This window comes from Homo sapiens, chromosome 8 (assembly GCF_000001405.40).
Source record: "Homo sapiens chromosome 8, GRCh38.p14 Primary Assembly".
Lineage (NCBI taxonomy): Eukaryota > Metazoa > Chordata > Mammalia > Primates > Hominidae > Homo > Homo sapiens.
Genome location: NC_000008.11, coordinates 97,890,100 through 97,902,119, shown reverse-complemented (window position 1 = coordinate 97,902,119; position 12,020 = coordinate 97,890,100). Strand labels below are relative to the sequence as shown.

Sequence of the window (12,020 nt, the reverse complement as noted above, 5' to 3'; positions counted from 1 at the left end):
AGGCTGAGGCAGGAGGATTGCTTGAGCCCAGGAGTTCGAGACCAGCCTGGGCAACATAGTGGGACCCTATTTTTTATAAACATGTATTTATAAAATACATGTTCCCTATTAAAACGTAACTCAGTATTATGAGCTATAATTTATAACAACAGATTTGAAAATGTAGACAAATGAGAAAACTTTTCAGAAAGATATCAATGACCAAAATAGACTTAAGAAGAAATGAAAAACCTGAATGCACAAATGGATTTTGAAGATATTTAATTTGTTGTCAAATATATCCCCTCTACAAAAGGCATCAAGCCCAGATGGTTTTATGAGTGAGTTTTCCATCTCTTTAAGGACTTATTTTGCTGATCCTATGCACCCATGGTGCCTGAGGCCGTGGAATTTGTACCAAACCCTAAAGCCTGACTGGTGGTGAGCCAGATGTGACCCTGGCCTGACCCTGCAGTATCCTTGGCACCCAAAGCAAAGCCTTGTACACTGTAGCTTCTTCATACGTATTTGTTGAATGGATGAATCAATGATTACCCAAGCAAATTATGAAACAAAATAGTATATCAGGGCCGGGTGCAGTGGCTCACGCCTGTAATCACAGCACTTTGGGAGGTCAAGGTGGGTGGATCACCTGAGGTCAGGAGTTCAAGACCAGCCTGGCCAACATGGCGAAACCCCATCTCTACTAAACATACAAAAAGTAGCCTGGTGTGGTGGTGCGTGCCTGTAATCCCAGCTATTCAGCAGGCTGAGGCAGCAGAATCGCTGGAACCCAAAAGGCGGAGGTTACAGTGAACCCAGAACACACCACTGCACTCCAGCCCAGGCAACAGAGCAAGACTCCATCTCAAAAAGAAAAAAAAAAAGTGTATCAGAATGAAACCATTTTGGCATAGTTAAAAAGCTCCATAAAATTGATGGTTTTCCTATTCTTCTTCACTTTGGAGACAAATTCAGCTTTAACTGGAAGAGGAGAATGGAGAGGCCTGCTTCGGTCAGTGGTGGGACAATCACATGGGACAGGCCACATCTGGGTGCAAACAGATGAACGGTACCTAGGAGAGGAGGATGTATCCCCGGTGACCCCACCAAGTCCCAAAGATTTAAGGATTCCTCATCTTTCACTGGGCCTAATGCAGACCTTGGAATAAAAGGGTTCTCAGTATATCTTTTTTTGGGGGGGCGGGGACAGAGTCTCGCTCTGTTGCCCAGGCTGGAGTGCAGTGGCGCTATCTCGGCTCACTGCAAGCTCCGCCTTCTGGGTTCACGCCATTCTCCTGCCTCAGCCTCCAGAGTAGGTGGGACTACAGGTGCCCGCCACCACACCCGTCTAATTTTTTGTATTTTTAGCAGAGACGGAGTTTCACCGTGTTAGCCAGGACGGCCTCAATCTCCTGACCTCGTGATCCGCCCACCTCGGCCTCCCAAAGTGCTGGGATTACAGGCGTGAGTCACCACGCCCGGCTGGTTCTCAGTATATCTTTATTCAATAAATGGATCAAGTAGGCTGGAACAAGCGAGCCCCAGTGTCAGGGCTGGGGGATTAAGAGCCGGAGATGGAAAGCAGCCCTTCCCAGCCTTTGCCAAGTCTGAGCCCTCCTGGAAGAAATTCCTCCGCAGTTTACTTAATGGTCCACCCTGACTTTAAGGGCCTCTGGGGCTCATCCCCCATGGGACTTCTCATGGCGCAATGACCCACAGTACACATAATCCATCATGCCTTTCTAAAGGCCCCTCCGGGCTCTGAACTTAGGTTGTCCGAAGCATCCATTCATCTTGTTTCTCCCAAAGATCCTGCCTGTGCCCCAGCTCTTGGTCCATCTGGCCAACCAGCCTTCCTCTTTGATGTTCTTACTCATTGGCTGGCTGTAGGCTTATAATAACTTCCTCCTCCCCCATGTCTAGCCCCATGGTCTTCTGAGCAGCCAAAATATACACATTGTCCTCCTTTCATCTTTCCCTATAAATCAGCCTCCCCTGGATATACTGAAACAGGACTGAGTTAGTCGTTCTAATTCTTGGCTTTTGAAAAACCTTACTTGGACTTGGTTTCACATCCTGGTTAGATTGCACTCCTGTCCCATCTTCAGCCCTGGGATTCCGGCTGCACAGCCCACTGCGCTTGCTGGAGCTGCTTTAATGACTCTGAAATATGCCATGGTAAAGTAATAAGTGACCCACTGCTCAAGTCTTTGAACATGCTTCCCCAGCGTTTCTCATATCACCCTGAAGTGGGAACATAAAGTGAATCAGAAAGGAAAAAGAGGCTATTTAGAAACATGTTGAAAGATGACACACTGTCCTCCACAAACTGGGAAAGTGAAAAGCAAAGCAGCTTGTCATGGGCTGACTTCTGTCCCTCTCCCTGCCCGCGATTCATATGTTGAAGTCCTCACCCCCAGGCCTTCAGGAGGTAACCGGATTTGGAGTTAGGGTCTTCAAAGATGTGATTAAGTTAAAATGAGGTTATTAGGGCGAGCCTAATTCAATGTGACTGGTGTCCTTATAAGAAGAGGAAGTCTGGACACTCACAGGTACAGAGGGAAAAGACCACGTGGAGACACAGGGAGAAGACAGCCACCTATGAGCCAAGGAGAGAGGGCTCAGAAGAAACCAACACAGCCGACACCTTGAGCTCAGACTTCTAGCTCCAGAACTGTGAGACAATACATTTCTGTTGTTTAACCACCCACTTTGTGGTATATTGTTATAGCAGCCCTAGGAAACTAATATACAACTCAAATTTCTAGAACATATATATATTTATTGAGGAAGAGTCCGTTAATTTACTTTTCCTATAGGCATTTATGGAATACCTGCTGTGTACCAGGCACCTTGCTCAGCTATGCTGGTACAGTGACGAACTACACAGACAATTAAGCAGGCAATTGCTGTACAGGCTAAGTGCAGTTTTGGGGACATACAGCACTCCATGGGAATGCAATAGTTGGGGTATTAAATCCCAACCTAGAAGATTAGAAGCGCTTCCACTGAGACCTGAAAGATGAGTCCAATTCAACTGGATAAAACAGGGTGGGTGGGGTTATAGAAAAGAGTTCAAGAAGGCGGGGTGTGGTGGTTTATGCCTGTAATCCTAACACTTTGGGAGGCCACAGCAGGAGGATCGCTTGAGCTCAGGAGTTCGAGAACAGCCTGGCCAACATGGTGAAACCCTGTCTTTACAAAAAAATATGAAAAAAAAAAATTGCTGGATATGGTGGTGCGTGCTTGTAATCCCAGCTACTTGGGAGGTTGAGATAGGAGGATCACCTGGGCCTGGAGGTCGAGGCTGCAGTGAGCCATGATCGCACCACTGCACTGCAGCCTGGGTGATAAAAGAGTTTAAGTAGAGAAAACAGCAAGTTCGCTTCTTGAATTCTACCTCTGGCTGCTCAGTAGTTGAATGACCTTGTATGAGACATTTAAGGGATAATAGTACATGCAGAGTGAAGTGTGAGCTGCCTACCACAGTGCCTGGCACATGGTGGCTTGTCATCACTACTATTTTTTTTTTTTTTTTTTGAGAAGGAGTTTCACTCTTGTTGCCCAGGCTGGAGTGTAGTGGTGTGATCTCAGCTCACTGCAACCTCCGCCTCCGAGGTTCAAGTAATTTTCCTGCCTCGGCCTCCCGAGTAGCTGGGATTACAGGTGCCCACCACCACACCTGGCTAATTTTTTGTATTTTTAGTAGACACAAGGTTTCACCATGTTGGCCAGGCTGGTCTCAAACTCCTCATCTCAGGTGATTCACCCACCTTGGCCTCCCCAAGTGCTGGGATTACAGGCATGAGCCACCGCACCCGGCCGTCATCACTACTATTGTTATCATTATTAGCATTAGATAGAGAGACGAAGGACAGGACTGGCTCCTTAGGGGTAAGGTTGTACACCTTGTCTCCTAAAAGCACCAGCCAGCAAAGAAAAGAAAGGTGACTGTCACTCACGGAAGGGATAATCCCTCACCTCTACTCCCTGACACACACATGAGTTGCAGGTGCAAAATATATGGGCAAGCTGAGGAGAGAACATCCTGGAACTGAAGAAGGGAATGAGGAAGGGGGGTACTGGAGAGGGAAAGATCAAGGAAGTTTATAGAAAAGGAAAGGGATAAAGAAAGAGTTTCACACAAAGGAGAAAGGGAGAAAGAAGGGGAGAGAGAGGATCTGTAGGAGAAAAAAATCAGGTTATATATTCATTGCCTAGAAAAGCTTTTAACTTTATGGCTTATTGGAGGTCAGACGCTGTGCTTTTTGGATTCTTCCAGCGTTAATCACAAGATAGGAATGAAGAATTTTACTTCATACAGTTTATAAAAATCTATATTAAACAGAGCATAGGCACAGAGGATGAATTTGATAGGGAACAGCAGGTCTGTGCTGAGGGCGGCCATGACAGCGCCTCCATGGGGTCCATGTTTCCAGCTGTCATTGTACTGCCCGTGATGCACTGCAGCTGAGCACTGAAAAAGAGGCAGTTTTACTTCAAAGGTTTAAAAAAAAATTTTAAAACAAACGTTGCTATATTTAAAACAATTTGATAAGCTCAATGCATCGACCTTCATTTGTATAATCTATTCTGATGATAAAGACACATGCCAGCTACTTAGTTCTTTAGATGTGTATTGCTAACTGCTGTGCTGTAAGAGGCTGGCTCCCATGTAGGCCTGAAACTCACCTTTTGCCAATTCCCTATAAGGCTGGACAATGCTAGCAGCTTATTTGTAAAGCTTCAGAAGGGCTGGACCTAGATTACAGTTAGTTTATACTCTGCAGCTGCAATTCTCTGCAGATGTTACTCATCTTGTATTGTCTTTCCGGCTCATGCCCCACAGCATCTTCTTCTAGTATCTTTTCCTCCTGCCCATTCCCACCCAACCTTGTAGGTTTCTCTACAGTAATAGTTCTCAAACTGAGGTTTCCAGGAATACCACTTATCAGGCTCCAACCCAGACCTACTGAATCAGACACTTTGAGCACAGGGCCCAGTAATCTGTGTTCTAACAAGCCTTCCAGGAGCTTTTGATGCACAATGAAGTTTAACAACCCCTGCTTCACTGCCTAATCCCACTGCCCAGCCCGGCCATATTGCCTGATCCCACTGCCTAGCCCTGTTGTGTTGCCTGATCCCACTGCCCAGCCCTGTCATGTTGCCATATCCCAATGCCCAGCCCTACTGTGTTGCCTGATCCCACTGCCCAGCCCTGTCGTGTTGCCAGATCCCACTGCCCAGCCCTACTGTGTTGCCTGATCCCACTGCCCAGCCTTGCTGTGTTACCTGATCCCACTGCCCAGCCCTGTTGTGTTGCCTGATCCCACTGTCCAGCCCTACTATGTTGCCTGATCCCACTGCCCAGCCCTACTGTGTTGCCTGATCCCACTGCCCAGCCTTGCTGTGTTACCTGATCCCTCTGCCCAGCCCTGTTATGTTGCCTGATCCCACTGCCCAGCCCTGCTGTGTTACCTGATCCCACTGCCTAGCCCTGTTGTGTTGCCTGATCCCATTGCCTAGCCCTGCATTATCTGATCCCACTGCCTAACCTTGCTGTGTTGCCTGATCCCCTGCCCAGCCCACTGTTCTGCCTGAACCCACTGCCCAGCCCTGCTGTGTTACCTGATCCCACTGCCCCATCCCTGTTGTCCTGCCTGATCCTACTGACCACCCTGTGTCTCAAAACTTCTCCTTCCTTGGCTTCCAGAATATGGTTCCTCCTTGGCTTTCCTACCTGGACACAGTGAGGGAAAGCTGCGGATTTCATCAGGGTTCCCACATAGAAGGGATGTCAGGGGAATTGGTGACATCACCACATCTGAGATGAGACCTGAGAGATCATTGACTTCAACTTCCTTCTTTTAGAGATGAATGAACTGAGGTCCAGGAGAAGAAAATAACCTCTTGCTAAGAAGGTTAATCAAGATTGAAATCATTCAAATAAGAATGAAATCAGCCTTCTGCATGTCTCATTCACTTACTTGTTCAATACACACTGAGCCCTGGGCAGGACCACAGCCAGGGCTGGAGGTCAGTAGAACCCAGGTGTGACCGGCTGCAGCAGCACCTCCAAATACAGATGGGCAGGGCATTCTATGGTCTACACAAAAACTCTGGGTCAAGGAGCAAGCAGGGGCTAAAATAGTACATTCAAGAGTACGCGTGTCTTTCTCTTTGCTCCAACGCATATCTGCCCCTAAGCCATGCATCCTTTCCATAAAGGGGCTGGGGGTTGAGCACCTTTTCTGTCTAGGTTTGCAGAAGTCTTGACAAATTTGCCAAAACTGCTTAACCTATCTGAGCCTCAGCTTCCTTGTCTGAAAATAGAATATAACAAGAATTACCTTACAGTGTTTGCTCCTGCTATGGATTAGGTGAGATAACACGTCCCAACCCACAGCAGGGGCTCAGTAAATGAGAGTTGCCTTTCATAGGTGCTATGAGAAATGAAAAATATTCAGTCCCTATCTTGAAGAGACAGTCTAGTAGTAAAATGAGACAAGTGCAAAAATAGCTAAAATGTGAATCCCTCTGAGGTAAGTATCACTATTACCCCTTGGAATGTAAGGCAGAGAGGGTTGGCACTTTGGCAGAGGGCCTGCAATGTGTGTGGTCCCTCAATGGAGGTCTTGCCTGGAGAGGGAGGAGGTGGCATTTGACCTGGCCCTGGATGAGAATGGGTCTTGTCTGGGGAAGGATATTCCAGGTAGAAGGAAGAGAATGGACAAAGCTCTGGAAAGCTCAGGGAAGGAGACAAAAGTTTTAATCATGGCAAAATGGCTTCAGGAAATTTAAGACTAGTGGCTTCCACGGGTTGGTCGGAGAGCCAGAGCCTCTCATGGCTTCTGGCATCTGCTTTCCGTCCTTCACAGAGGAGGCCAATAAAAGTCAATTAAAGGTATTGTTTTGGGATGTAGAAATCCATTGAGTGGCAGCTAAGCCTTAAAAATGTAGGTTGGAGCCAGACACGGTGGCTCACGCCTGTAATTCCAGCATTTTGTGAGGCCTAGGTGGGCAGATCACATGAGGTCAGGAATTTGAGACCAACCTGGCCAACATGATGAAACCCCGTCTCTACTAAAAATACAAAAATTAGCCGGGCATGGTGGCGGGCGCCTGCAATCTCAGCTACTCAGGAGGCCAAGGCAGAAGAATTGCTTGAACCCGGGAGGCGGAGGTTGCAGTGAGCCAAGATCACGCCACTGCACTCCAGCCTGGGTGACAGAGCAAGACTCTGTCTCAAAAAAAAAAGGGGGGGTTAATAAATATCAACCTAGGTAAAAATTTCCATTAGCAACACAGAGCAGGCCATGCTTACATTTAATTCTCCAGGCAGCCAACAACTTCACATTGCTCACTTAGGAGGTTTCAGCTCATTATATGAAACGTATTGCAATTTTATGAATATTTTGATGTCAGGTTTAGAGATACATGCAAAAATGAAAATAAGTGTCTCTTAATACACTGTGATTCCCCAAGAGCAGAATTTGGGGCTGTGTAAGGTGAATTCTGCCAGGAGGAATGGTTCACACTTGTAATCCCAACACTTTGGGAGGCCAAGGCAGGAGGATTGCATAAGGCCAAGAATTTGAAACCAGTCTGTGCAACATAGTAAGACCCTGTCTCTGCAAAAAAATTAAACAATTAGTTGGGCGTGGTAGTACATGACTGTAGTCCCAGTTAGTTGGGAAGCTGACTTGGGAGGATCGCTTGAGCTCAGGCTGCAGTGAGCTATGATAGTGCCACTGCACTCCAGCCTGGGCAACAGAATAAGATCCTGTCTAAAAAAAAAAAAAAAAAAAAAAAAAGGTGAATTCTTAGATTTTCTTCATTAGTTTTTAAGTAGTAAATTAACTGTTATGAGTAAATTTTACTAAATGCTGTGGTGTCTACCCTGGAACACCTCTGGAATTCTTCCAGCAGTGTGTGTGGTGGGGTGTGGGGTGGGAGGGAGCTCAGGCCCTACCATCCCCTGACCAGACTGCAGGGCCAACTTCCTTTTAAATCTTTGTCTCCCACTTCTAGAATTGATGCCATATTGCCACAAAATGCTCTCTTAAAACACAAACATAACTTCTGAGTGTGTAGTATTGATCCAAAGGAGAGTCTATAATAGGAAAAGAAAAGGCTTTCAAGTTTAGTTAGCAGAAATAAAATGAGCCAGTTTGGTAAATTTAGAAAAGAATGCATATGTCAACAAGACCTCATAAGACAGACCACCACCAGAGACCACAAGCTGGCTGACTGTAGAGTAGTTTGTGGAGTGGAGGGAATCAAGAATACACTGGGGGCCGGGTGCGGCGGCTCACGCCAGTAATCCCAGCACTTTGGGAGGCCGAGGCAGGCGGCCAACATGGTGAAACCCTGTCTCTACTAAAAATACAAAAATTAACCGGGCGTGGTGGCAGGCACCTGTAATCCCAGCTACTCTGGAGGCTGAGGCAGGAGAATCACTTGAACCTGGGAGGCGGAGGTTGCAGTGAGCCGAGATCCCACCACTGCACTCCAGCCTGGTGACACAGCAAGACTCTATCATAAATAAATAAATAAATAAATAAATAAATAAATAAGAATACTCTGGGAGTTTGGGCAAGGAGGGTTAAGGTTTCCAAAAAGGCTGATATACCCCACTGGTTGTTCTGGAGACAGGTCCACCTCCTCATAGGAAAGTGGGGTAACAAAGAGAAAAAGTGTGCACAAACGAAGCAGGCGGCCATTAGCAGTGGGGCAGCATGCCTTCCAGTTAGCGCCCCCTTGAGGAGGGCCTAGCGAGGAGTGTGGAAGGGGATGGGTGCCACTGATAAGGCTGGTCAAGGGGAAGAATCCAAGTCCAAAGGGTTCTGGGTACAGCACAGTCAGATTCTCCGACTCTACCTGCCAGCGTTGTGGCCTGGAGGGGTCTTTGGGCTAGAGCAGGTGCTCGTTCCTTCTCCTGTTGCAGCCTGCTATTTAGATCCCTGCTCTTTGCCACAACCCAGGAAGGTCAAGTCTGTCCGGAGAGTACAGTGGGTGCAAAGACAAAGCGACACCCACTGTTGACTGCTTAAAGCCCTCCACAGCTCCTACCCCTGCAAAATGAAGCTCAAAACTCCTTCCTTGGAGCCCTCGAGGTCCTAAATTATTGCTGCCTTATCTCCAGCTCAGACCACCTGTCTGGCAGACCCAGCGCCACATCGGAGCCCCACTGCCACACTCCATCCTCATGCCTCTGCCACCTGCTGTCCCACAGGGCTCTCCGTGGGCAGGACCTTCACTGGGAACAATTCTCTTAAACCAGCCATTCTCAAGTGTAGTTTGGGGAATTCTAGGGGTCCCTGAGGCCTTTTCAGAGGATCCATGAGGTCAGAACTATTTCCATAATAACATGAATGTTTGCCTTTCATACTCTCATTCTCTTGTGGGTATATAGAGAACAAAAAGTTTATTGATCTGATTTTAGATTTCACATTGCAACTAAACTTTAAGAAACTACTCTTTGTCAAGTTTTGGTGTAGTATCAAAGAACATTCACAATTATATGAAAAGGCTATTTAAATGCTCTTCCCTTTTCCAACTACATATCCATGCATTTTCATATAATCTAACGAAAACATTTCATGACAGATTGAATGGTCAAGAAATGACAATCTAGCTGTCTTCTACGAAGCCAGACCGTTACAAGATTTGCAAAACTGTAAAACGGTGCTACTCTTCTTTTTTTTTTTTTTTTTTTTTTTGAGACAGGGTCTCACTCTGTCACCCAGGCTGGAGTGCAGTGGCACCATCACGGCTCACTCATGCAGCCTCGACCTCTGGGGCTCAAGTGATCCTGCAGCCTAAGCATTTCAATTAGCTGGGACTATAGGTGTGTACCACCACACCCGGCTAATTTTTTTTTTTCTTTCTTTTTTTTTTTTGAGACAGTTTCACTCTTGTCACCCAGGCTGAAGTGCAGTGGTGTGATCTCGGCTCACTGCAACCTCCGCCTCCCGGGTTCAAGTGATTCTCCTGCCTCAGCCTCCGGAGTAGCTGGGATTACAGGTGCACACCACCAAACCAGGCTAATTTTTGTATTTTTAGTAGAGACAGTTTTTCACCATGTTGGCCAGGCTGGTCTCAAACTCCTGACCTCAAGTGATCTGCCCACCTCAGCCTCCCAAAGTGCTGGGATTACAGGTGTGAGCCACTGTGCACGGCCTCATTTTTTTATTTTTGTAGAGACAAGGTATCCCTATGTTGCCCAGACTGGTCTCAAACTCCTGGGCTCAAGTGATCCTTCCACCTCAGCCTCCCAAAGTACTGGAATTACAGGCATGAGCCACTGCACCTGGCCAGAAAATATAGTTTTTTATACATATATAGTTTGTTAACACATTCTGATTTTATTATTGTTATTTTTAAATTTCTGATCAGGTAGATACCAATAGATCTAACCCACATAAACAAAGCTCCCTTGATTGTCCTCAGGATTCTTAAAAAACAAACAAAAGTTATTTGGGATCCTTAATAATTTTTGGCTGGGCACAGTGGCTCACGCCTAGAATCCCAGCACTTTGGGAGACTGAGGGGGGAGGATCGCTTGAGCCCAGGAGTTCAAGATCAGCCTGGACAACATGGCGAAACCCTGTCTCTACAAAAAATACAAAAATTAGCCAGGCGTAGTGTCATGTGCCTGTAGTCTCAGCTACTTGAGATGCTGAGGTTGGAGGATTGCTTAAGCACAAGAGGTCAAGGCTGCAGCGAGCCATGATCATGCCACTGCACTCCAGCCTGGGAGACAGTGAGACCCTATCTCAAAATAAAATAAAATAAAATAATAAAATAAAAATAATTTTTAGCGTAAAAGGAAGGATCCTGAGACCAAAGCTTGAGAACCACTGCCTTACACTAAGCCTGCTCAGCAGGCAGAGTTGAGCTATAATGTAGCTATGCCTCTACTTTTGCACACCGATTCTACCAAATTAATGATCTTTTCACATGCCTGTCTCTTCCACTACTCTGTGCACCTCCTGATGGTGTCTATTCATCTTAAACACTACCCCCACACCCCCAACCGGCATCTGGCACAGAGTAGAAATTCCAGATAAATGAATGAGGTAAGAGATAAGCCCATGTGGACAGACATCACAGGCTGCCGAGTGAACAGCCCACAGATGTTCACAGGATGGTGGATATATACATGCGTTATTTTTTCAAACTGACTCAAGTTGTTACTGAGACTCTGACCTGAATTTAAACATAAAAGATAAACATTTTTAAAACCCAGAAAGTTCAAAAAAAATTAACCTAAGAAACAATTCTGCTGTTTCTACTCTGTTAAACTTTCAGGAACATACTTGCAAGCAAATAACCAGTAAAATCCATCATGCCAGTGGATGCCATAACTTCAGCCAAAATGATTTGCCATTAAAAAGTGAAATGTGGCCTGGGCCATATTCTGAACAAATAGTCCAAGAGCCAAGAGAAGCAAACATGCATAAAATACAAAACACTACATTATTCTAAGAATGAAGAGAAGGTCATACCCTCGGGGCAAGGACTACCAATGAGCATGCTTTTCCATTTTTGTTCCCCATCAAAATGAGAAAAAAAAAAGCAGATTGCACTTGAGAATCCAGGCCACAGCTATAGTGTTTGCTTTCTGGTTTCATGATTGTCACTCCACTATTTTCTTTTTTTTTTTTTTTTGAGACAGAGTCTCACTCTGTCACCCAGGCTAGAGTGCAGTGGCACGATCTTAGCTCACTGCAACCTCCACTTCCTGGGTTCAAGCGATTCTCCTGCCTCAGCCTCCCGAGTAGCTGGGATTACAGGCACCCGCCACCATGCCCAGCTAATTTTTGTATTTTTAGTAGAGACAGGGTTTCACCATGTTGGTCAGGCTGGTCTCGAACTCCTGACCTTGTGATCCGCCCACCTCGGCCTCCCAAAGTGCTGGGATTGCAGGTGTGAGCCACCATGTCCGGCCCACTCCACCATTTTCATAAGCCAAGCAGCCCTCCAGCATATCTGGGAGCAGCCACTTGCACAGCTCACGGAGTGAAAACACCCAT

General features: G+C 46.4%; 1 protein-coding gene across 4 annotated transcripts in view, besides 1 other annotated feature; it reads right to left on the bottom strand.

Moving 5' to 3' along the window:
• Nucleotides 1-12,020, bottom strand: part of MATN2 (matrilin 2) — a 167,661-nt gene that overhangs the window by 134,605 nt on the left and 21,036 nt on the right. The gene's annotated exons all lie outside the window — the stretch shown is intronic.
• Nucleotides 4,778-5,277: an enhancer, noted in NCBI's record as "H3K4me1 hESC enhancer chr8:98909071-98909570 (GRCh37/hg19 assembly coordinates)". NCBI's record gives its function as "activates a minimal SCP1, AML or CMV promoter by ChIP-STARR-seq in primed H9 embryonic stem cells {active_cell/tissue: H9 hESC(primed)}" and the evidence as "EXISTENCE:reporter gene assay evidence [ECO:0000049][PMID:30033119]".